This window comes from Homo sapiens, chromosome 3 (genome assembly GCF_000001405.40).
Source record: "Homo sapiens chromosome 3, GRCh38.p14 Primary Assembly".
Lineage (NCBI taxonomy): Eukaryota > Metazoa > Chordata > Mammalia > Primates > Hominidae > Homo > Homo sapiens.
This window is the reverse complement of record NC_000003.12, coordinates 124,212,478-124,239,546: the sequence shown is the minus strand read 5'-3', so window position 1 is coordinate 124,239,546 and position 27,069 is coordinate 124,212,478. Positions and strand designations below refer to the sequence as shown.

The window sequence follows — 27,069 nt, the reverse complement described above, 5'->3', positions numbered from 1 at the left end:
CATCCTAATTTCTTGTTATCTTTCCTCACCAATATGATAACCACATTCCTTGGCAGAACACTCAGTATCTCAGTGGAACTGCTAAGAGCAGATTAAGTGTCAGATACATCAACTGGTGCCCTTAGGAGTCACAGAAAGAAGGTCGTGACAAAGCAGGCTAACAGTGATGATGAAGAGGAATTCAATGCAATAAAAGTAACCCAGGATTTCCTTACTAGATGTAGTGCTTAGAAATTCCTATTTCAAGCATTTCGTCAACTCCCAATAATCACAGTGGGTAGATTATCCACACTGTGGGCTAGGCCTGGACAGTTGTTTACTCTCAGGCTGGATTTTCTATCCTGTCTTTCAATTTCTAGGGACATTCATCAGCTGATCACATCTGAGTATTTTCTTTCCACTCCTTTCACGTACAAGTAACTGTAAGCAGACAGCAGACCAGGACAAAAAAATGTTAGATAAGTGTAGGTGGATGACAGTAAAGATAACATGAGGCCTCACCAAGATTCCTATCCAGAACTTGTCTCATAGTAGACACTCAGTAAATATTTGTTGAACTGAGTGGATGGAGTTATTGAAAAGTTGAATTAGAAGACGTTTAAGGTTTCTTCCCACCCTGTTACCTATGACTCCTCAGAATAAGATGATGGAAAACCTGAGTGACCTAGGAGATAGATGCCCAAACTCATCAGGAGCAAGACAGAGAAGTTAAAATGACGGGACTCATCTCAGGCCAAGATGGACGCTGAACGAATAAGTCAGGACTGATCCAAGCTGTTACACCCCAACAGGATCCTTGGTCCTGGGTAATGCCCCAAAATTTCCACCTGGAGTCGAAGGGGACTAAAAAGAAGTTCTCTTAGGATTTAAGGTATAGACAAAATCTTAAGTGAAATCCCAGACCTTAACTTACTTAGGAAGTCTGAGAAGAGAGCACTTAGATGCATATTGGTGGGGGTGGTAATACTCTGTTCTGAGGCCCTGGATTTTATGATGCATTGTTTTTTCCAATATCACAGAAACCTAGAATTCGGGGCAGGAAAGATTCTTAGAAGTTATCTAAGCCCACCTTCAACCCAGTAGAGGAACTTTTTCTACAGCATCCCTAACAGAGGGTCATCTGGTCTCCAGTGACAGGAAGTTCACTTTCTCCAGAGGCAGCAGCAGTGTTGCTAGACAGCTTCCATGTGGGCAGGTTCTTTCTCCTGATTCTAACGTCCACCCGTTAATGCAACAGAGGCCATGCCTGTTCCCTCATTTCTGGGGCAGCTCTCCTGAAGTCAGGAATTGCGTTTTTTGTTGTTTTTTTTTCTTCATCTTCATGCCTGCCAGCAAACATCCCTCATTCCTTCAACTGTGGAGACATGGATTGTGGGTGCCTTAATGTGCTGCTTCCTTGACAGCACTCTAACTGATCTATGTAGTTCTTAAAATGAAGCTGGCCAGATGAATGTTACAGAGTTGAATGCAGTGGTCCAGATATGGCCTGGCCTACAGAGAGGAGAGTGGGACTATTTCTTCCTATTCATTTCTAAATTATCAACACTATCTGTTTAATCATCTATTCTAAAATGGTCCCCCAAATGGCCATTAAGTTTGCTGGTTCCTTAAATTCTAGGATCCTCATTCACCACTCACTTATCCTTATTTGTTTGTCTTCTGCTGGCTGGTTCATCTCCTACGCTACAATGCACTCCCATCTTGGGCTGCCTTTTACTATTACTGGTTTGGCACTGGGTAGGAAAATACCCAGGTTTCCCCTAAATTTCTCAAAATGTGTGTTCCTGTTCACCACAAATCCTCAATCTACCTGGCATAGAGAAGCTCTAAATACTTGTTGACTACATAATGAATAAATGCATGAATAAATAGGTAGCAAATGTTGGTCAGGAGAGGTGGCTCATGCCTGTAATCCCAGCACTTTGGGAGGCTGAGGTGGGTGTATCACTTGAGGTCAGGAGTTCGAGACCAGCCTGGCCAACACAGTGAAACCCCATCTCTAATAAAAATACAAAAATTAGCCAGTTGTGGTGGCAGGTGCCTGTAATCCCGGCTACTTGGCAGGCCAAGGCACAAGAATCACTTGAACCTGGGAAGCAGAGGTTACAGTGAACCGAGATTGTGCCACTGCACTCCAGCCTGGGTGATAGAGTGAGACTCAGTCTCAAAAAAAAAAAAAAGCATCAAATGATCAAATGTCACCTACAGGCTTGATCACACCAGCCTGTAACAATCCACCTCCAACAACCAGAGCCTGTCTTTTTAGCATCCTGGATCTGACCCAGATAAACAATTTCTTCTCATCAGTATCATCTACTGAGTCTAACAGTTAATTTTCATTGTTCCCTTTCTCTTCCAAAGCCATGGCTACAAAGAAGAAAGTGGCAAATATAATCTGACCTGCTAAGTTATTCAGTTTTCCTACCCCAAACTTCACTGTCTTTAGAACAATCCTGTTCCATCCAACAGCCATTATGTGTGACATGTAGCCAAGAGAATTAGGAAGTGACTGGTGGGCATGACTAGGTGAACTCTGCGGCCTGCCAGGCACTTACACTCTTCATGAATGCAGGTCCCTCAGGAGGCAGGGCAGCAGGCATCACAGAACAGTTCTTCCCACTGGCAATAGGGCTCTCGCCTGCCCTGTGAAGAGCCTTCCAGTTCTCAGGAGTGCAGATTGCACTGATGTGACCACCCCCTGAGAAGCAGAGAGCCTGCATCTTGTGTGTTCCTTCAGTGATAATGTATTATTCCACCTTTTTCATGACCTTCCTCTCAGCCCCTCTTGGGTTTTGTTCCCCTTCACCCCAGCGGAAATCTTTTCTTTTTAAATTGCTTCCCGTCTGTTTTGTCCCACTCTTTGCTTAACAAGTCAGAATGAAGAAAAGTATTCTTCCAACTCTTTCCCTCTTTATTCTAAAGAAAAGATGAGCATCAATTAGCTGCAGCTATGTGATGAACACGCAGGAAAGAAAAATTTACCCTTTGTGTCTTCCGGGATCCCAATTTCTTCTGTCTTTAAGAGAACTGAGAGTTCATCACAGCTCCCTATGAAAACTTCTATTGTAAATTGCTTCAGAAAATTCCTGGTTTTATGCCTGTTAGTCACTTACTTAGGAAAAGTGCTTTAAAAAACTGCTTAGCTCCTAGATGGCTAAATTGCTAAATTACCTATATCAATCACGAGTTATTTAGTCTACCTCCTTGCCTCTGAGACAGATAAGAGTATTTCTTCTTTATAATGACCCCCAGAAAAAAAATCTTTCATCCTTATATTCATTGTTTCATGCACTCAAAGTTTATAAGTTCTTCTTCAGATATAACCCAAATCCCTTTTACTGAAGCTTAAGACCTTTTATGTTTTTTCTGTTCCCAGTGGATATCATAAAGAAAAAAAAAAACAGACACTATTCAGCATCTACTTGTTCAGTCTTCTGCCCGAAGTTCTTCAGGGCTCACAATTCCATTCAACATCCTTCCAAGCATGTGATGACTGCTCTTAAAATCCCCTTTACTACCTGCCCATCACCTCCCAACCACTCCTTTACATTCATCTCTTCTTTAGCTCTCTGAAATGCAGTACTTGCCTCACTCAACACCTGCTTCAAGAACTTAATCAGCACATTCAAAAATTATCCCAGGTCTTCCAGCAAAGGCAAAGCTGGATATATAGCTCCTCCCTGTAATTCACTAATTCTTCTATAAAATGCACAGAGACAAGACGAAGGTTTTGAAAGCCCAAAGAACCATTTCTTATTTGCCACAACAAACATTTCACAGGCTTTGGCCCCACTAAGAGACAGAGAGCAGTGCCGTCGCTGCTCAAGAACAAAGATGGTGAGAGAGCACCGGGGCTGGACTCAGGAGGGTTGAGTTCTAGACCAAGCTCTGCCACTGACCCTTGTGAACCACACACATCCCCTGTCAGCCCCTTTCCCTAAGCAGGACATGACATGTATCTGCCTAGATTGCTCCTCAGGGCTCTCCCAACTCTCACATCTTGTGGTTCTCTGATCAAGTGAAGCTCTCTTCTCTTCCGTCTCAACTATGTCCTTGGCGTGTCTCCCACACCCACCTTGTGGCCAGTGCTACCTAGACCAGTGTTTCTCACACTTTTTAAAATTATCATCCTAGGCCCCGAAGGAGCCTTTTTAGATCTTTTTTCCCTAATCACCCTACCCAGTGAAAATTTAATACCACACATATACTGTACCTTGGTAGAGTATGTATACCTGTGTTTAATACATGGAAAAAAAAATCTTTTGCTATCCCCAAGAACCAATTTTCACTCTCTTTGGGGGCAATATCACTCCCACTGAAAATGCATGACCTAAATCAGTGTCATAGAGTGTTTCCTGTAGCTGAGTGATACAGAGTTGAGTGTCCGGAGTTGCCACTTCCAGCTCCCACCCCATTCACATGAATCTCAGCAGTAACAATGGGAATGAGGCAGACAATGGACAATGGTGTTCCAGGAATGGTTAGAATCCACTGGAAGAGCAGAAACCACTAGGGTCCCTGGCAGGGATGGAGGCTCCTTCCAAAACTGGCATCAGCCCAGCTCCCCTCCCGCTCCCCTGCAGGCCATTCCCCTTCCCCTTACCTTGGCACGCTGGCCAAATACGTCACGAGTTTCCGCAGGTCTTCCTGTCTTATTCTGTCATGATTGCTGCGAGCAGGGAAGGTCAGGATGGGTCCGCCTCGCTTATCACGACCCCCTGCAAGAAGGAGGAAGAGAAGAGTGTTTAAGAAAACCAGTCAGAAAGGAAAGCCACAGAGGAAAAAGAAATCTGTCTGAGTGCTGGGTGATCAGACAGAAATAGGGTATCCAGAGAAATCTGGTCACTGCTTAGGACAAGGTGGGGGGGTCTAGATGCAGGTAGCACATATGACCGTGGGCAAGTCTTTTGGCTTCTCTGGTGCCTCATCTGTAGAAGGCAGATGAAAACAGTACTGTGCACATTACAGGGCTGTTGCAAGAACTGATGAGTTGGCACATGGGGATGCACTTGGAAAAGTAAAGCTCTCTACAAATGTGAGATGATAATGAAAATGGTGATAACTGTTCTTATTGAGAAAACAAGCTGGTGGAAAGTGCTATGTTCTTTGGAAATTTAACCTCTAATTTACTTCTCTTTATAGACCTCTGTGAGGTGGGAGTGCTTGTGATGAGCTGACTACTATGGTGAGAAGACCTCAAAGCATCCATCCCAGGATAGCATTACTGGGAAGTTTTCAGATTCATAGAAAAAACATTAAGTATTTTTTACACAGCCAAAAAACCACCCCTGCCTGTCTGCCTGAGGTGCCACCTGTCACTCCTGCTAGAGGAGCACATGAATCTTATCAGAAATCAGAATGCTCAAGGTCTTAATCACTGCAAATGCATACATACATACTGAGATTACAAGTGTTTTCTAAACATCACATTTAAAATAACTGGAAGGAGTATACCAAAATGACAATTTCTGTTGCTATTAGAAGGCCAGGATTTTGGATCGTTGCTTTTTCTTTCCTCTACTTTCCAAATACCCTATTCACTATTTATTACATGATTTTAAAATGTATTCATTAATGGACACTATGCTTAGGAAGTGGAACCAAGTTTCTCAGGGGCGTTAAACAGGAAAAAAGTTAAGGGTAACTATGACCTTACAGGGCACTGGCCATTACACAAAGAAAACCACTATGTCATGATCACAGACTCTTCACGCCACATCTCAGGTGGCCACTGGATATACCCCAGAGTAGGACCACAAAGGGATCTAATGAAAGAGAGTGGAGAGGTGCGAACCTCACCAATACTGGAAAACAAGGATCTCTTACACAGAGGGCAGAGTCTCCCAGGGATCCCGCCCAAGTGTGAGTTCATGAATAAGGTTTCCTTCTGGTTAAGGGGTCCAGAAGCCACACAGATAGAGGGGAGGCTTGACAAAAAAATCAATCCAGAATACCCTTGAGGAGGAAGTAAGGAGGCTGCAGAGAGAAAAGGATTACATAAGATCAGGCCACTGTGAGATTCAGCCCTGATGAAAAAGTGTTTCAGCACCACCACCACTGCCCAGCGCCCCCACTCAGGGCAGATTCATACAGATTAACTCAGAGTTGGACCTTTCATACCACTAGCCCTGGTTCTTTGACGTGATAACCACCCTTGTCTCATCTGCCTTGGAAATGGTCCCCATCTCTCCATTGCCTTCCACATGAGGAAAAGGAAGCGAGAAAATTAAATGGAAGGTTTCCCAAAAGCTGGGAGGTCCTCCAACACTCTCAACCTTCCCCTCTATCCTTGACCTCACCCCAAGCATTGTCACTCTGGCAGTTTGTTTGCTTGTTTTACCATAGCTGTTGTTTTTTTCCTGACCTTCCTTGGACATTATACAAGTAGAGTCTTGGAACCACAAGGAACCACAGCTCCAACTGGCAAAGGGTGGCTTGGAGGGCTGGCTGACACTGCCCCTCCCAAGCTAGAACCAGGGCTGGCCTTGGAGACATGAGATTCAGGATCACGGCCGGGGAGCTTTTTAGATGGCTGGAAGATAGTCACTTTTTCTTTCCTCTACTTTCCAAACTTCCTATTCACCATTTATTATATGATTTTAAAGTGCATTCACTAATGGACACTATGCTCAGGAAACAGAATCAAGTTTCTGCTTTTTTTTTTCCCTGTCTGACACTCCTGAGAAACTTGGTTCCACTTCCTAAGCATAGTGTCCATTAATGAATGAGCTTTCAAATCATATAATAAATAGTGAATAGGAAGTTTGGAAGGTTCAGATGGAAGGGAAGGAGGAGTTAGAAGAGAAAGCCTGGAGAATTCTAATTCCCCACATCCAGAAGTGTAGATAAGGAGTCAAGAGGAGGCAGCAGGATCAAGCCATGTGGTATTCAGAAAGGAAGAGACCTTTGAAGATTATAGAAAAAAGGAGAGGAATGAGCCTAGAGGAAGAGAATCTTTATGCTGGGAAGGGTAGGGACAACAACGGAGCAAGGTCTCAGGGAAGGCATAAGGCGGGGGCCCAGCCCACAGCAGATGGGGCTGCCCCCCTCTCTGAGGCAGGCTGTTGAACTCCAAGAGAGAGGAGGAAATGGAGATACGTGGTGGAGAGGGAAGAGTTCAGCCTGCCTGAGGGACATGGTTCTTTGGGTGGAACAGTAGACAAGAGGCAGTCCAGGGTCAGGGTAGGCTTAGGGTACTGAGGAGAGGGAAATGAAACCATCACTGGAGAACTTCTCTCGAGAATGACAGTAGGACTGGGTAGGACATGAGCTTCAGGGTTGCTGACAGGATACTAGGGCACAGCGAAAGCTCTGTTGAAAGCTTTGGCCACAGTATCTGTGCCAGGCTCCAAGCTGAGTGAAGGCAGAGTGGAGCTAATGCACCATATAAATGGGGTATGCCCAGGGAGGGTGGGAGATGTTCTATTGGATGATGAGATCCCAGAAAAGAGGGAAAGGTGTTGATTTTATTCCTCTCATATCCATCCTCTCCCAAATGACAAGAGGATATCAGAAAGGTCAAAGTAAGGGACTAAAACCACAGATAGACACATCAAGGGTCAAGATCTTGGACGTGCATAATCATGGTAGGTAGGTGGAGGACTTTCGTACCAAGGAGGCTGAGTAGCAATGAAGCTATAGGATTTGATCAATAATTGACATAGATGCTGAAATTACAGAGGACAATAAGCAGAGATGAATAATAAGGACCCCATGATAAAGTCAATGTAACAATAGATCTGCAAGATGTTAATGGATATGCATCACAGACACATAAATTTTTAGGGAATGAGGTTATTCTTTAGTTTGGAAAATGCCAGATTAAAAAAAAAAAATAAAGTTCTTTACTGCAGGACTTCCCAGAGCCTTAAAATGTTAATGTATTTTAATGGATATTGTAATTCTCCAAGAAGGAGAGCTAGAATGTCCAGCATTTCCCAAACTTCTTTGAGAGTAGAACCCCGTTTTCTTTGTAGAGGATCATCCTGTGGAACTGATCTTGGAAAACACTTTGAGAGATGCAGGTCCAGGGTACGAAAGATTGTGCCACAGCAACATAAGGTTCCCTGGGAACGGTGGAAACCAATAAGGAAAACCACATTGGTGGGAGATAGGGAGGCAGAGAGGAATCATGAGGAGGTGGCCAAAAGGAAGGCGTGTATGCACATAAAGACAATAGGATGAAATGGACCCCACATGAGAAGGCTGGATAAAAGGGACAATGGGTGCTGTGACTTCTAAGTAGTACAAAGGACATCAGAGAGGCCAAGGGGAGCTCGTGAGCTGTGAATGACAGAGCAGAATGGGGCAGTGCTGGATAACAACGGAGGCTCACTGAGGGACAGCCCCAAATCCTGTCTCACAGACATGCACACGCCCACATGCAGAAGCTTCTGGGCTGCCCTGGATTATTCCCAATGTACGTTCCCATGGCAGCATGGCTTTCCTTTTGCCTGGCCAAGGCTGGGCGCTAGCAGAGGAGGGCAGGCTCAATTAACAAACAGCCTGTTTCTCTGCTCACCACCTTCCTTGCAGCGCTTTCTTCTTCTCAGAAAGAAATCCAACTGTTAAACTGCATTATTTAATTATAGGTTTCTTCATTTTGTTTTATTTTTGCATTTTATCTTTTAAAAGCTCAGGATGTAAGAGTTGGTTGGTTTGGTGTTTTTTTTTTGTTTTTTTTTTTTTTGGTTTTGGGGGTTTTTTTGTTTTGTTTTGTTTTTGTTTTTTGCTTTTTTAATGCAGCCAGTCATTATCTTCCCAGTTTATTCAGTGTCCTTCCCAGACACGGAAGGGCAATGTTCCCTAAGCCCAGAAGTTTCTGGCACCACAAGCGCAGGTGCAGTTGAATAAGGCTTACCCCAGGCTGTTCGGCTTACGCTGGCAAATGGGGGAGAGCTATGCTCCCAGCCCCCTTCGTCCTACTCAGGGAATTTTCTACCTGCCTCATTCCTGACTGCCTTCCTGGCCACGTTGCTTCTATGAGCTCCATTAGGACAAGCCCCTACCACTTGAGAAGGTTTTTTTCTGAGGCTCTGCCCAGGGCTCTGACTGAATTTACATGGGAAAAAATAAACCATGAACATCAAGCAAGGGTCTCCATGTCAGAGTGTATTGTGCATGCATATGCCCCAAACTGATGTGGAATAGGATGATTCTCAGAGGAATACATTAGATCCAGGAAGGTCTCCTGGAGGAGGTAAAGTAGAAACTGACTCTGGAAGGAGAGGAAAGGCTCAACTTGGCAGAAGTTATGGAGAAGGCACTGCAGAGGGAAAGAAGTGTCAGGCACAAGAGAAATGGGAGTATTGGCAGGATATCCAGGGGACAGGAAGAACATCAGGTTAACTAAGGACCATAAAAAGAAGGAAGAAAAGATAAGATTGGGCTCCCAGAGGGCTGTGGGCCACATCCTTGGGAGCCCAGGCTACGGGGATCAGCAGAAATCAGAGGCCTGGCACTGCTCAGTGGCCTCTAGGATTTCTGCACAAGGTCTTCCCATATGCTTAGCAAGAAATCAGAATCCAAGTTTCTAAAGGTTTTAAAGGTTGTGTTACCTATGCCTCTCCCCATACCCAAATCACTGCTGCGTAATCCTGCCAAGGAGTTGTTCTGCCTGTTCAACATCTTCAGTGGCAGGGGGCTCATTACCTTATAAGATATACTAGCCCCTAATGGGAAGAGGCAGCTGCCAGGTCACTCTCATCTAACAGCAATGGCAATAATAAATTACTATTGCTACTACTGCTAACAATAATTACAATAATATAGAATGCATTTAGTCATTACAAAGTCTTCTGCACACTCCCATTGCATGCCTGCCCTCACCTCCCACACCTACACTCTGAATCATCAGGCTCTCGCCTTTTCTCCGATGAGGTGGGAGACAACTGCTGCTTAACTTCCCCTTTCCTTTATCCTCTTCCCGCCTCCTCTTCTCTCTATTTTGGCTGTCGCCCAACAGCCAGACCAACAGTGCCTGTGGCATGAACCTCTGCTCTACAGGACTGGACTAGCTCTTGCTCTGTGACTCCACTGCTACTCCTTGTAGATAACCAAAATCACCCAGAAATAAAGGTTTGGTCCATGTGGTATAAGCACGTGGCATGTTTCTCAAAATACAATCTTTCGCTACTAACACTGTCTATCCCAGCCTCTGCCTCAGACCCTACCAGAAATTCTGATCCCGGAGGCCTAGAGTGGAGCCCTGCAACAGGCACCCAGAGTGATTCTGGCATACCTTATTGTTTGAGAACAACTGCCTTAGGGGCTCTGGCCAGTCTTTGGCTTCAATTATATCAGGGGTCACCGGACTTTTTCTTAAAGGGTCAGAGAGTAAATATTTCAGGCTCATGGGCCAAATGGTCTCTGCAATAGCTACTCAACTCTGTTGTTACAGCGAGAAGGCAGCCATCAACACAATCTGTAGTAGGTTGAATAATAGCCCACAAACATATCATGGCAAAGACTTTGCAAATATGATTAAGTTAACCATCTTGAGATAGGGCAATTATTCTAGATTATCTAGGTGGGCCCTAAATGTAGTCACAGGTATCCTTAAAAGAGAGAGGCAGAGAAAGATTTGACACAGATGCAAGAGGAGAAGGCAATTTGACCCTGGAGGTAGAGATGGAAATGATGCAGCCACAAGCCAAGGAATGTCAGCAGCCATTGGAAGCTGGGAGAGGAAAGGAACCAATTTTCTCTTAGAAACTCTGGAAGCACAGCCCTGCTGACCCCTAGATTTCAGCCCCATGAAACGGATTTCTGGCTTCCAGAACTGTGCAATAATGACTTTCTGTTGTTGCAAGCCACTAAGCTCATGGAAATTTGTTGCACCATCAATGGGAAACTAATACACTCCATAAACAAATACACATTGCTGTGTACCAATAAAACTTTATTTATAAAAACTGGTGGATGGCCCACCAGCTACAGATTGCTTACCCCAGAGTGAGACATTAAGAGGTCTTTGTGCACAAGATGTATGGGAGAGAGAAGTCAGATATAAATATTTGGAAGTCATTATTCAGAAAAAAACAAAAACTAAACATCTAAACATGAACCCTCACTTGAGTTCCCTTTGCCAGGACAGAAAGATAAGGAGGAAGCAAAAACTCCTTTAAAAATCTCCCGTCCCTGATCCATGCAGAAATGAACTCAGATAAAACCTCCAGGAATGTGCCAAGTGCACAGATTCTCCAGTTGGAGCAACTCTCACAGGGCCAGGCCAGGGGGCTGAGGTTGGGTGGGAAGCTCAGGGAATGTCCCTTTGGTTCTGGGTGTCCTTTAGAACACTCAGCTGGGGCCAGAGCCCTCCTTTCTCCCTCCCCATCTGCCTCAGGAGAAAGAAAGCAGCTGCCCCAAGCATAACTTCCCCACCCCTACTTCTCCCCTACTAACACACAAGTGAATCTGAACACATGTGCACACACACAACTTCTCTAGGTCCTTTACAAAAGAAAGTCCCACAAATACTCACCAGACACGAAGGCCACCTTTTCCTTTAGGATAGGAAGGACATCAGAAGCTTTCAAACCATCATTCCGAAAAGACCCTGTGGGACAACAAACCAGAAGGAATCAGGGTGAGAGGAGCCAGCTGGCTGAATCGCAAGGTCCCATCCTCAGTCTCCCAATCCCATCATCAGCCGGCAAGTCCTGCCTTGTCCAGGTCCTACAGCCCAGCCCGATGGACCAGGAGAGGGTCTGCAACAGAAGGGATACTTCCACATCATGCCAGCCATAGGGGTGATCAGGGCTGCAACCCCCTAGTCCTTCTCAAGGAGAGGACAATCCAAGTCACCCTCCCCACATGGAGAAACCTCCATGCAGTGGGGGCAAAAAAAAAAAAAAAAAAAAAAAAAAAAAAAAAAAAAAAAAACAGCCCTGTTGCTATTGAGCAACTTGAAGCCGGGGGACTTTTAAAAAATCATGTTCGTACCTCTAGTGCCTAGCACAGTGTCTTGAACATACTCAGCACTCAGGAAATATCTGTTGAATTAGTTAATTGATATCAAGATGGATTACAAAGTCCTAAAGAATCCTTCTTGCCTTTCCTCTGGCACAACAACTATTAGTCTTTATTTTACAAACAAGGAAAGTAAACCACAAAACTCCTACAGATGGAAGCAAAGTTGATGACAATACTCCTCTCCCCACCTCTTCCTCCTCCCCTCAATGTCATCATCATTGGTCCACAATAGACAGGAGATGGGGAGATACAAATCTCCTGGGAAGGAAATGCACTACCCACTACCTTGTTTAACTTGTTCTCTTTCTAAATCTTGCTTCTCATTTAGAAAGTCCTTTCTATGTTCTAGTTGAGTTCCTGTTAGGGGGCTGGAGGCAGAATCTTGGGGCTCACAAAGAATGGAAACTAAAGATGTGCCTGGAGGAACAGTAGCCTCAGGAGGCAAAGGACAATCCAGCCCAGTGTGAGATTTGTGGGAAGTCAGGACCCAGCTTCCACATACACAAACCCCAGGCTAGACCATTGCATCCCTATCATTTAACCTAAGAACCCCACAGGGACTCTCAGGGAGAGCCACCCACACTTACAGCGATTCGAGCTATAACTGGGGTCTCTGTTATGTGTCGCCATTAGGGACATGACACAAATAGACCTCAGAAGGCGAGCGGTTGTATGTCAGCTCAGAGAGCAGAACCAGATACCATGGATACCCCCTCTGGTGCCTTTCTCCACTTGGCTTACACCCTTAGGGTCCAAATTTGACAATTGACAGAGGAAAACAACATGCTGGGCAGGACAATCCCACTCAATCCTTCAATCTCTAAACATTGACTGTTTCAAGAAACCCATCCGGGAATTTTGGCAATAAAATTCTGGGCCAGGCGTAAGATCACTGGCCTAGGGAAGTGAAGTGGGCCAACTGCACACTCAACCAAGGAGGAAGAGAGATGTGTGCTCACAATGCCAGTTTCTATGATCAGAGGTCATACCCTAAACCTAAAACAAATTTCCTAAGTGTCTCTGACCATTTTGCCTATTTCTTCTCTTTCATTTTTCACCAAATGAAGACTGCAAGTCTTTTTATTCATCAGTCGTTTCTCTTTACTAGCTGACAGAGAACCAGCTACAAGGCTCACTTTGAGAAGACCTTGAGCAATAGGAAAACAAAGTAACACCATAAAAAAGAATACTCGAATTTCAAAGCCTATAAGCACTATTTTGAACTTTCTATCCTGTTTCTACAGATATTTATGCTCTAATTTTATCTTTTCCACAGAAAAACAATTAAATTTCACTAATAGAGGCTAATTAGGATCAATATAAATTATTACAGAATTTACAAATAGATATATAAAGTATTTTTTTTCATCCTCATGCAATGAGGAGACATTTCAGCTTCCTTGGCAATCTATTAGGCTTTATCTGTTAGACAAGGATCAAGGATCTTTAACTAATACATGACTTGTTTGTGAACAATGATGCTTCTGTATCAAAATACATGATTTTCCTTTGTGAAATATATCTTTCTATACATTAATTTTAAAACGCTTTCCTCTATATCACCATGCACTCCACTAATTTCTATAGAAAAAAATGTAATATAAAAGTTAAATTTCAGTCCTGTCTTCTTTCAGATTATTTACAAGTTCAAAAATAGCAAGGCCCAAACTAATGAGATTTACTATACAAAAAGAGTCCACATAACTCTCTTTTCTCCTAAACTCTTTTCCTATTTTTTTCTACTGCTGTCCCTCTTGTCCTCTACTGTGTTGCAGTACACAAGAGGGTCCTAGTTCTAAATAGCCATAAGATCTTAAGGAAGGGTTTCAAATTTGCTATAATGGAAGCAAAGGGTTCCCCATCCTATCTCCTCTCTACTCCCATCCTTGGAGAGGAAGAGGAAGCTCCAAGTCTCATCCATCACACCCACTCATTGTGCCCCACCTCTTCCTTCTCCCCACCAGGGCCCAGGACCTGAGAGAAGGTGTGCAGCTTGTCCATGCAGCTTGCAGTCATGGGCTCCAGTAAATGTCAATACCTTGGGTTGGGCTGTTCTAGGATTCCTAGGGCTTCTACTTCCCAGGCCAGGGTCCTCCCTGACCCTGTAGAGGCCACTGCTGGGCCTGGTTGTGTGTCCACAAGTAAACCTAAAGTGTCCACATTTACAAAATCCAAACTAGGGGACAATCATTTCCAATTACAACTAAAATTTTCACATTATAAAAGGATTTGCTCCAGAGTCTCTTCAAATAAAGTTCCCCTAGTGATTTGAATCAGTTTTTCACTTGCCAAAAATTAAATTACATATAACTTTTGAACAATATATGTATTATGTAAAGCCAAGTAGAGCTAATTAGCCCAGCAGCTCAGAAATTGGTGACCTTGCATATAAAACCTATTTGCACTGACTAAAGATACTATGTATCATATCAATTCCCCCAGGGCCCTTGTGAAACCAGCTGTTGGAATATATAATAAAGGAGAAGTTCATTGAATGCTAACTCAAACAGGACCAATGAAATAGCAACATGTTTTCACTATCGGGTACGTGTCTTGGTAGACTCACGGTAAATGTTCAATAAATATTTGATGAAAGAATAAATGAATCAATGAAATGTTGACCCTTCCTAAAATGACTTATACAAGGTCAGTGACTTCATTTGTCACACCAAGCACTGGCAATCTGAGTAGATGCCCTCCAGGGTACTACTCAGCTCTAATACTCTGAGACTTTCTAAACCTTCTCTTCATATTTGTTGGCCTTTAAGATCCTCAGGTTATCAGATCAATATGCTTTAAAAGGAAGTACTGGGAATAAATTCCCTAACAAGATTCATTGCACCTTGGGAAGATAAAACATTTCACTGGCTTCCTGGCCCATTTGTCCCCCAGAATCAGTTTACAGATACTCAGGGGCAGATCACCCCATTTTGCAGGTAGCCCAAAATGCCAAAATGGGAGAATAGTGATGGAAGAACTTCAATGAGGCTTAATCTCTTGAAGAAGGCAAGCTTCCATTGCCATTGTTATTTCTGGTATATTTGGTAGAACTATTAGAAAATAAACTCTAGATCACACTTGTGCAACCTGTGGTCTACAGGCCTCATGCAGCCCAGGACAGCTTTGAATGCAGCCCAACACAAACTTGTAAACTTTCTTAAAACATTATGAGATTTTTTTGCAATTTTTTTTTTTTTTAGCTCTTCAGCTGTCATTAGTATTAGTGTATTTTCTGTGTGGTCCAAGACAATTCTTTTTCTTTCAATGTGGCCCAGGGAAGCCAAAAGACTAGACACTCCTGCTCTAGACCAATCATAGACCTGTTTCCATCTAAAAAAAAAAAATCCTGGAAGGCCTGAGAAGACATTAAAAAAAAAACCCCTAAGCCCTTGGAGTTGCTGCAGGAAAAAAAAAAAACAAAATCAGGGATGGCACCTTCATGGACCTGACCCAACGTGGGTGGTGGGTGTTGTGCCTCTTCTTAAGGACAAAGGCATGCTTCACTGGCATTCAGTGCTAATCCCACCCCATTTGTGTCCTGCTGCTGTCAGAATTACAAGCCTGCTGTTCCGTTAATTAGCAAAGTTGAAATGCTCCACATCTATTAAGGAAGTACAAATTACCCCTGCCATCTCCCCAGGATCCTCCAGCATGGGTCTTCTCCAAGCCCCACTTTTGCTTCTCCTTGCTCCAAACGTGTTATGCTTACATTGCTTCTAGTCATCATTTCCCATGTTGGAAAATGCCAGTCAGCCTCACTGTGGCTTCCAGCCTCTGTGTGACCTTACACGGCAATGGTAAAACTGGCCCTTGAGCCCCCCAGCCCTGTCTGTGGTTTTGTGGGTCTAGAGTAGCAGTATATTCCCCAGGGCACCTGGGTGCCTTGTGTTCCATACTAACCTCCTTCAGAAAGCATTCCTGATTTCAACAAGTGAAGAAACAAACAACAGAGTGGGCGTTTATAGAGCATTGGAGGTTCAAGCTGCCAGAGTATCCATGGATTGCTCTTTGTTTCCTTTTGGTTCTCAGTCACACCCCTTTAATGTGCACCTATTTAGAAGTTACTATGTAAGTGTTCTAATGTTGCTTCAAGTGGGCCTGAGCCCTGTTTCTGCACATTTCCCTGTGCTCAGGTTTCTGCCTTCTCTTTCTACTTCACCCGTGTGGTGTCCAGTATAGAAGCCTTACTCAAAATGGCACTGAGTCACTGAGAGGCTGCATAAAAGAGATCTGGCTTACAATTGAGAGGTGCAGGAGCTCATTTGGCTGGACCCTAGTTAGGTTGTAATTTTGAAATTTTCCTATTCCTAAGGTCATTATTTCATTAATTCTATATTGACCACTTACTATGGGCCAGGCCATATGTCGGGCTTCAGTGACAGTAAGACAAATAAGAAATGGATCCTGCTCTCCAAGGGGGCTTCCAAGCAGAGAAAGATGGGTTTCCAAATAGGACAATTAACTGTTATCAGAGACAGGACACCACCTGTACAAAATGCAAGGAGACTAAAAAAAAAAAAAAGAGCTTCTTAAAGATGAGTCCTAAAGCCTTGGTACCCAAGGTAATAAGCATCACATACACCTAGAACCTTGCTGGAAATGCAAAATCTCAAGTTCCACCCTAGACTTACAGAGTCAGAGCCTACATTTTAACAAGAACCCCAGGTGAGGCCAGGCATGGTAGGTCACATCTATAATACCAGCACTTTGGGAGGCTAAGGCAGGCAGACAACTTGAGCCCAGGAGTTTGAGACCAGCATAGGCAACATGACAAAACCCTATCTATACAAAAAATACAACAAAAATTAGCCAGGCATGGTGGCACGCATCTGTAGTCCCAGCCACTCGGGAGGCTGAGGTGGGAGGATTGATTGAGCCAGGGAGGTCGAGGCTGCAGTGAGCTGTGATCATGCCACTTCACTCCAGCCCGGGTGACTGAGAAAGACCCTGTCTCAACAGCCCCCACCACACACACAAAAAAACCCAGCTGATCCATACGCACATTACACTTTGGGAAGTTGTGTACTAAAGTATGTCTTTCCATTCCAGAGTTGCCTCAGAGGCAGAAGATGGAGAAAAGCATGCTGTAGCCTGGCCTAAACAGGACCCCTAAAATCTCATCTAACACTACTCATCACCCCTCTGGCCCCTACCATGGGAAGACCCCTCTCCACTGCCCAGAGATTCCAGAGATTCAGCCATTACCCTATAATCATCTATTATTCAAATTCAGCTTTGGAATAAAAAAGCTATCTGGGAGGTAGATAAATTCCCCCTCCAGGGCATTAAGAGTGGATCACATCTTACTTTTTGGTGGCAGGAGTGTTTATGAATAACACCTGTCCAAACTGCTCAGAATTTTGGTAGCTTAAACCATTCCTTCATGTATCAGATGTTTTAATTTCACCACAAATCTTCCTTCCTACCCTCAGAGCCCTACCTTCTCTAACTACTTTCGGTAGCATAAATACTGTCACCAAGATGCCATCTCTAAGATAGCCCTAAAGGACAGAGAAGCCAGTCTGCTTATGCCTCTTTATCCCACCTGCACCCCCACTCACAGGTACAAAGCCCTGAACACTGGGGAAATGCTGGTCAGGAAACAGAAAGGAGGGGTGCGCCCACCTGGGGAGCTCTGCATCTGAGAACACAGTGCCCATCTCAGGCAATTCTCTCCCTTGGAGGGGAAACCCAATTTCTGCTGAGTTTCCAGCCTAATAAAATACCGAGTGTCCATTTCCCCCAATACCAGGAAGCTACCAGACTGGATAAAAAACCAGTGAAGACTCTGAGATTCTGATAAAAACCTTCCCACCCTTCCCCCAATCTGACCATCCTGTATCCACTATATCTTAATTACTGGTGCCATCATCCACGGAGCTAACCAAACAGAAACCTGGGAAGCACCCTAGACTCCTCCCCCTCCTCCATCACACATATTGATTTGGCTACTTGGTTCTGTTGATCCTACCTCTTAAATCTCTCTCTAATGTGTCATTTCCTCTGTGCTGTTTCCCTGGCCTCCCCATCAAGCTGAGCTGTCTCCAGTTGTACTTTATAATCTATCACTCCTGAATGGCATTTATGTGTTTTCGTTTACTCCCCATTAACTGATCCTGATGCCTTGAGGGTAGGGACCATGTAGTATTCCTTGTTCTACTCCAGAACCTCACACAGGGCCTGTCACAAAAAAGAGTCAAGAAATACTGAAACTGACCACGCACAGGCACAGAGAAGACAGAGAATGGCAAGTTGAGATGATCCATCAGGTCAGTCTCCACAGAGAAGATGATCTTCAAATTAGATTGTAAATAACAGAAGAGGCAAGGGATGGTGGGAAGCAGTACATGCCAAGGCAGAGAGGGAGGGGCAAACAAACTGTACGTCATGGATGAAGGGGTTTTACTCAATGAACAGAAAAGCAGAGTTAGGGGGTGATGAAAAGGAGTGCATGGAGGAGGGTGGGCTCTGTGGTCTGACTCCCAACAGGGTGGACACCTGGGGAGGCATCGGCAAAGATGCCACTGCAAGTGCCTTCGGAGACTCCGAGAGCCAGGTCTGTGCTACATACAGCAAGGGGCAGAGCTGGGTGGAATCTGGCTGGTCCCAGAAGAAGGCTGTGGCTCCTGAACAGGGCTTGGCCCAGCAGGCTCTGATCCCAACCTCCAGGTCACATTCTGCTTTATCTTTGAGGATACGGGGAGGTTGGGACTTGGCCCCTGCTGAGGTTAGTGGTAGAATAGGGGGTAGGGGCACTGGAACTTTGTCTCTTTTGATCTTCTCCCTAAGTCCAAGGAGAGGCAGGAAGCATGTTTGTGGGTAACCTCCTGGGATCTGCTGGGACAGTAGCAGGCTGACAGTTTGTGTAAGACCCCATGAAAGTGCAATGTGAAACTGAATCATAAAGGAAAGAGACTTAAAGTCCTGGTCTCTTCTGTGTAGAAAATGGGTGGAGCCCTTAGGAGAAGACACTGTTAGTCAAACTGGAGTTAGTAGAGAACCTATTAGAAGCAAGATCTTCATTCCCTTCATTCTCCCTTCTTTCATCCCCTCCTTTCCTATGTTAACACAAGAGAAAAAGAGAGAGGTGGCAAGAGTGGGAGAAAACATAAGGTAAAGGGGTAAGAGCAAGAGATAAAGAGCTAGAGAGAAAGATACACACACACACACATACACACACACACACACAGAAAGAGAGAGAGAAAGAAATAGAGGTGAATGTTCCTGTCTCCTCTTTATAGACACTAAGGAGCTATTAAGGAAACTGTTGAAAAATGCCGCCAGTGACTATAAATATGTTCCTTAGAGTTCTCCTTAAAACAGCTACCACCGGCCGGTCTCAGTAGCTCACACCTGTAATACCAGCACTTTGGGAGGCCCAAGTGGGCAGATCACGAGGTCAGGTGTTCGAGACCAGCCTGGCCAACACAATGAAACCCTGTCTCTACTAAAAATACAAATATTAGCCAGTTGTGGTGGTGTGAGCCTGTAAACCTCACTACTCGGGAGGCTGAGGCAGGAGAAGTGCTTGAACCCGGGAGGCAGAGGTTGCAGTGAACAGAGATCACGCCACTGCACTCCGGCCTGGGAGACAGAGGGAGACTCCATCTCAAAACAAAACAAAACAAAAAAAAAACCTACCACCAAGACAGGAAGTGTGTGCTTAGAGAAAGGAATAAACCTGGCAGAGAGAGAGAGAGAGAGGCTGGGCAGCTTTATGTCAGCAACCAAACACACAGCACAGTGTGGAGACCCACATGCCTCTCCCCAACCTGAAAATCTACCTGTGCGCAGTGGGGCCAACCCCCCACAGTCTTCCTTCATCGCTGTCACCCACAAACATCAAATGGACCAAGGAGCATCCCCCTCCTTAGGTGGCAGGTGTGCAGGAGGGATGGTGCAGCAGAGTTCTCCTCCTTGACCATGGGATTTCTAAGCAAAGGACACCCAGGAGCCTCTGCTAACCTGATTTCAACACAAAAAGGGGAAAAAAATGTTCTTCTTTTGGCAATTGCTAAATACTGAGCTTTTCTAAGCAAACTGACCAGGTCTCCTGTAACCTGAGACAACAACCAGGGACTTGGCTGATAACTAGGTCGGGCAGCCTTTACACTGGAGAAAAGCAATGTCTACCTTCTCTCAACTCTGATATGCATTTGAAGTATATTTCCATAAATGACCATCCTCTGCCCTGCACTATAGTGAGCTGGACAGCTTCCTTAGGGTGCCTGCCCTAACTGCTCAATCACCATCTGGGCTGGACTCACTTCTCTGCCTCAGTATATCACTGGCATGTACCTCCCTGTTCTGCCATTGTCCACCACTGCATCTGGCTCCCTCGCTAGACTCTAAGCTCATTGATGGCAGGGGCTGAGTACTTCTCTCAATGACTTTAGTGCTTGGTACACAGCTGGCACTTAATGGGTGACCCAGAGGCAGAGTTTCTCACATCCCAAGTGTCATGACACCTTCTACGTAAAAAGTGTTTAGTAACTGCCATGTCTCTTCCTCCCATGATGCTTCTTTGTGCTTATTTCTACCTTCATGTTCATCTTTCTCCCTCTCTCACATAAACTCTAATTGAGGCCAATTTCAATATGAACTTTCTAAAGTCAATATTAGCTATAAAGACCTGGCTAATGGGCTACCTTTGAGGAATGGAAATTTGTAACACTTTCTACTGCTAAATTAGCTCCATTAAAGATCACTAATAATTAGCACTTTAAACATATGGGTAACGCCTCTCTAAGCCCAGCTAATGAGCAACCATTTCTGTTTATTCTTCACAAGATTTAATATTAGTTTGAGTTGAGACCTCAGCTGCAATACACACAGGCTTACTCACTCTTCCTCCCGCCCTCCCTCTCCAGAAAAGTTGACATCTTGAGTATAGCACAGACACAAGAAAATGGCCACTTCAGAAGTGATTCTATCCACCCACTGTGTTTGTTTTGAAACTGATTCCTTTCTAACTCACCAGGTTACCTAAAGTGCTCATACATCACAGGTAGTGGTGATAGTGGTAGATTTATTGTCTTTTTTGTTACTTTAAGCACTGCTGTTGGATGGGTCCTCAAAGTAACAGAGAACATTAGCTTGTCAGTGATTATTATGATCCAACTGTTGAACATTAGCTGTGTATTTGCTATTATAATATATTTGGAGAGAGTTACAAAGGCGCCGAGGGGCAGAAGGTGTGTGCTGTGCAAGTTCAGACACAGAAAAGCTTTGCTCCTTGGGACCCTCATCTCAGTCCCCCTCCCTTTTCCCCAGCACAAATATCAATAATATTAATACTTAATTTAATCAGGGCATAAAGACTAGTTAAACATGAAATTGCTGACTTGAAAAGTCAGTTTGGGGCTCTGTGATTATGGAAGGCACTCTGGCAGGTATCTAAATATGAAATTGTCCAGCACCTCTTGGATGCTTCTCCCCTCAACCACCTCTCCAACCCCCATATGGGTGGCAGTAAAGTAGCAATGGCTGACCACAGAGTTTAGGGCAGAGGACCCTCACAGGCAGCTCCTGGAGCAGACCCTCTCACCCAAGCCTAGAGTTTCTTCCCACTCCCACTTGCTCTCTTTCTGATTCTACAACCATGCCACTCCTGCTCCAGTGTCCTCACCATGACCATCAATGAGCAATGTCACAGGAATACACTGGCACAGACTGGGCACAGTTCCACCACATACATGGAACAACCAGGACCAAAGTAACAACCAGGTTTGCAGAACTGCAGGTACGGTCTGACAGCTGAGAAGGGACACATCCAAAGGTCATTTTACTGAACAAACTAGCAAACTAAAGCACCCTCTCCCCACTGCCAGGACATGTATGCCGCTGTCCTTGGTCCTGAACTAGTGTGACGTTGCTACTTGGAGTGGCTGCTGTCCATGCTGTCTTAGGATATGCCAACCAAAAGAGAAAGAGGCAGAGATGAAAGAGATGTTAAGATATATCATGGAGATAAAGAAATGTGAAGAAGCATTGGAGGGATATACATACAGAGAGATTACAGAAGAGAGGTTTTTTTGGTATTGTTTTCAAGTTATTGTGGTAACCAAGAAGCAAAGGTCTGTGTACGTACCCATACACGCACACACACACACATACACAGATCCCATGGAAATGAGATAGCATGAACCCTATATGTCCCCTGATACAATGTTCAGGTATCTAGATAAATTGGCTAACCATATCTGATGGATTAGCCATGGAAAGATTCCTGGAGTTTTAAGCAATTTTTGAGTCCCTATTTAAGTTATTGCCTTGGATATCCAAACATATACAATTCAATTCAGTAAATATTTATTGAGCACCTATATGTGTCAGGCAAAGTTACAATTACTGTGGGTACAAAAGTAAACAATATAGAGGTCCTGACCTTAAGGGACTTTTAATTTAAGGAAAGAGTCAGACTAACCAACATGTAATTTCAATATCATGCAAGAAATATAATATAGAGGTACACATGGGGGACAAATATTCAGATAATCCAAAAGAGATACTAAAACTCCAGCTCTAAGGAAGTCTCTAAAATGTGAAAAAGCAGTAAGAAGAGAAGAGGTAATGGATTATGGGATCATTATCTAGGTCCTAGATTGGACAAGACAGGTGATGAGTCTCTGGTGGGTCTAGGAGAAGAGAGGAGACTAACTAAGACACAATGGGATTTTCCCAAGACCTAGACCCTATCCATAATAACAAAGAGATGAGTTAATGTTTGCTGGAGATAAACAACAAAGCTTCCCCTGTGGACCTAGCATAACCAGGGCCCAGCATAAGCTAGAAAATTTGCCATGATTGGGAAAACATTTGACTCATAATGTCTGCTATTTCTTTAGAAAGAAGCATAACAATGTTAAGTGCTAAATAGGAAAGAAGGGGTGATCTGAATATCTCATGAAGCCAAAATCCTTCTCCAGAATTCTGGAGGGTAGACTGGGTAATCCTCAACTCTACTCACCAGAGGACAGACTAAGTTATACTTTTCACCTGACAAACTGAAGCAGGCCTATAAACCCTGCCTCAAAATGTATGTGATGGGGGAAAGCCATGAACCTCATGAAACTGTACACAAACCATTGCATATCTGTCCATATGTGTCCATTTTTCTGAGAGACAATCTTTAAGTCCAGTTGTCAACAGATTTTCAACGGGATCTATGACACCCTAAATCGTTGAGAACCAATAGCCTAGGGCAGTCATAGTGAGAGTCTACAAGTTATCTTGGGTTCAAACCACTAGATCCTATTTTCTAGGCTCTGCCTCCCTCACAGCACACTTTATGACACTCACGGTTTAGCTGAAACCCAATACCATGGTTGGGCTGGCAGAGAAAAAAATGAAATGATTTGATTCCTTAGCTGAGATAAATGGAAACTGTGGCAGATGGTAGAAGGTGAAGGCTGTCTGAAAGATCCTGTGCTGTAAGAATAAGCTTTATTAGAGGTGGTTCTCTCTCATTATGGAGCTACTAAGAGCTGGAAGAACTGAGGTTAGTTGAACACAAAATGAGTTTTGTAGACACCAAGGCAGTACATTTCCAGTAAGCCTTCCAAACTTATGACACCCCCGCCATTGGAGGGATGACAACTTGACCCCAGGCCCTTCCTCGATTCATGACACTGTGTCAAGGTTAGAGCCAGCAGAAAGGGTCTGCAAACATGTTTAACAAGATCTGCTGGAGCCTGGATAATGGCAGGATAAGGTTTCTGGAGTGTTCCTAGTGAGGCTGGCACCATAGGACACACCTGGCCATTACTTGCTCATCATGCTGTCTTCTACTTAAGACAGCAAGCTCTCCCAGGACAAGCATGTCTTGAGGGGAAGGTCACAGCCCTGAGTCAAGCACAGACTTTGGACAGAAGTCTGACTCCCAGCTCCAGTATTTATTAGCTGTGTGCCCTTAGACAGCTTAATCTCTCTGGGTCTCTGTTCCTTCATATGAGATAAGAATACCTACACTTCATAGGCTGTTGTAATGATTAAGGGAGGAAAATTGAAAAACCAGACACCTAGCTGATACTAAGTAAACATAATGCTCACTCTTCTCTGTTCATCTTGATATCTCTTTCATGGGGCCTGACACCTGGTAGATGTTCAATAATAAGTACTGAATATATGAATGAGTGAGCAAGTGAATGAGTAAGTGAACGGAGTAAACTCAGAAAACGGCAGCTAAAAAAATGCCTCCCCAGCTTCCCACTGCATACCAGTAAGCTACACTGCTCACACCCATCTGTGTGGGTCCTCTGAATTTTTATTGTTTCCCTCTGCTACCCAATCTGGGCTATTCGGCGAGTACTACAACTACTCCTGCTCCCCTACCCAGGTGCCCCAGATGTAAAAGAAAGCCTCCTGTTCCCAAAGGAAGACCAGCTGCCCAGCTGATTGTGCATTTGTCCCTCCTCCTGTGGCCAGGGGGCTATGGTCAGGGGCATCTCCATGACCATAGCTGCCAGCAGCTGCCAGCAGTTGGCAGGCCTTGTTCCTTCTTTTCCCAACTCCTCTTCCCCCTGCCCTTATGAGACTGGGTTCTACATAAAGATCTACAGGTCAAGGTGGCATTTCTGAGAAGCATGCCTACTGAAAACACATCCTGATAGCGAGGCCACCATCTGAGATGAAGAAGCCACCACATCTACCTAGTAGGCAGCCTTCAGAGCCCTGTGGAGAGAGGTCTGGGGAGAGTAAGTGACCTGTGAGTCTTTTTCTTAGTTGGCCTTGAGTTGTCAGGCTGTAGTAAGTAGGGGGAGTTCACAGAGAAACAAAAGCTAGAGAGGTTATGTTACCCTTAACACACAGAGCTAGGTGTGAAGGCACAGGAAAGTGGTGAATACAAATCCAAGTGAGTTGGATCCTAAAATCTGCTTGCTACATGTAGAATAAATGTCCCCAGGTTGCTTAGATTCTCAGTTCCATGCTCTCTGAAACGATTTTCTCACCAACTCCCCAGCACTCATAATCCTCTCCCAGTAATCTTAGCAGAAGACCTCTAGGAGGCTGGGATATCTGGTCCCCTGCTCTTTCAGCTCCCTGGAAAAGAGGAGTCCTTGCCATGACTAGGGAGCCATGAGATTGTCTTGTCCATGGATAAATGTGCATGTGAACTCAGAACATAGCCTATATGCTAAGATTAGAATAATTTTAAGTTAGGGAGTAAAGAGATTTATGATAGCTTTATATATTTCAAAAAATCAGAAACAACCTCAAATGTTCAACCTCAGGGATGTGGTTAAATAAACCATATCTACTCAATGCATTCATTAAATATGCATTAAATATTATACAAGTATAATGCCTTGGGAAATTTTCCGGTATATTGTTAAGTGTGAAAAAGATTATAAAATAGTTATGTACAACCATGTCTCAATTGTGCATACAGTGTCTGTGTTTGTGTGTGTATAAAAACCATATATATATACATATATATATGTACACAGCAGTTATCTCTGAAAAGTTGGATTACAGATTTTGTTAATGTTTAACTTTTTTTCTATGTCAGATTTTTCTTATTTATTCTTGAAATAATTGGAAAAGAGCAAATTCCCTCTTTTGTATATTGATCCTTCATATATAGAATATCTGTAAAATATTCATACACTTAAAAAGTTTAATAATTAGGTTGTGGTTATGATAACAAGTCAAATAGCATTTTAAGAGCAACCTTATTTAAAGTTCAGGACAACTGTGTTACACAGCTGTTCACTCTGCAATGTGATCCTGTGGCAAATAAGAAATGGCTACCACTCATCACAGATGAAATTGTCTTATGACTAAAAGAACTGAAGTCCAAATGAGCTGTAAAAGAAAACTCCATTTTTCATTAGGGATAATTTTCCATGTATGCAAATAGGGTTTATCCCTTTGAAATGCAAGATATAAAAGAAGATTCAAATAAAATAAAATTCAAATAAAATCACATGTTTTTGGATTAAAAAGCTAAACATTATAGTGGATATCTGTTGAATGAATCTCTTAGTACCCCCTATGTGCCAAAGGGATTTTCAACTAGATTTTTACCTATAAAAACAAATAGATAAAAATAATTAAACTTTTTTTAAAAAAGATAAATAATGGGTTGGGCTTGCCCTACCAGATATGAAAGTATATTTTTTAAACTCAAATTATTAAAAGGTGGAGCAGACACAAGAATTAACATACAATCAATGGAGCCTGAAACATAGCCCTAATACAGATCTGGCATATTTTAAAATCTAATGGATGATAAGGAAATAATCTAAAACAATGGAGGAAAGATAAAGTAGTCAATAAATGGCACTGGAAAAACTGAATATTTGGAAAAGAAAAATCCAGTTAATCCTGACAACTTCATACCATACACCAAAATAAAATAAATTTTAGAGAGATTAGAGCCCAAACCTTTAAAATGACATTTTTTTAAAAACCTTAAGAGAAAACATGCATGGTCATTTAACTGATCCCTGAATAAGAAAGAGCTCTCAAGGCACAAAAGCATTTAAAGAAATCAGAAAAATATTGATGGTTTTGTTTCTGTAGAATTTAAACTATATGTCAGATTATAAACAAAATTTAAAAGGCAAATGACAAGCTAGGAAACGTGTATCAAATACGATAGAGAAAAAATTACTGCTCCCTATTTGAAAAATGCGCAAAGAATATAAATATACATTTCAAAAAGGAGGGAAAATGGATAATAAACATAAGAAAAAGCAGTCCACTTAATTAGTAATAAAGAAAATGCAAACTAAACAATGAGATGTTTTAAAAATCCATTAAATTTGCAAAGATTTTGAGAAGGCAATAATCATCAATGCTAGCAAGGTTCAGCATTAATTACCTCTTCCTGCCTATAACCCCATTAGTGCAAGTAAAATTGCTTCAACCTTTTCAGAAAGCAATTTGGTAATACGAATAATAATAATAATACAGTGATCTAGTGATATCCCTTCTGCATGTCTATGTGAAGGAACTAAGGAAAAAGGAGGACAGATATTTGCAAACAAGGGGTTTCATGCAATACTTTTTAATGTGGCCCCAAATTGCAAATATCCTAAGTATCCAACAGAAAGGGGATAGTTAAGATAAACTTGAAATAGGTATAAATTA

General features: G+C 43.3%; 1 protein-coding gene across 32 annotated transcripts in view, besides 1 other annotated feature; it reads right to left on the bottom strand.

Annotated features, from left to right (window-relative positions):
• The window catches only part of KALRN (kalirin RhoGEF kinase), a 692,957-nt gene that overhangs the window by 486,779 nt on the left and 179,109 nt on the right, over window positions 1-27,069 (bottom strand). For all 32 annotated transcript variants that reach the window (XM_006713810.4, XM_017007429.2, XM_011513279.3 and 29 more), the window contains exons 2-3: window positions 11,483-11,557; window positions 4,604-4,718 (exon numbers count right to left, since the gene is read on the bottom strand). In XM_006713810.4, coding sequence (XP_006713873.1) covers window positions 4,604-4,718; window positions 11,483-11,557 — 190 coding nt within the window. The remainder of the gene's footprint in view (window positions 1-4,603; window positions 4,719-11,482; window positions 11,558-27,069) is intronic.
• Window positions 21,738-21,938: a silencer, noted in NCBI's record as "peak4803 fragment used in MPRA reporter construct". NCBI's record gives its function as "represses an SCP1 promoter by STARR-seq MPRAs in K562 erythroleukemia cells {active_cell/tissue: K562}" and the evidence as "EXISTENCE:reporter gene assay evidence [ECO:0000049][PMID:32103011]".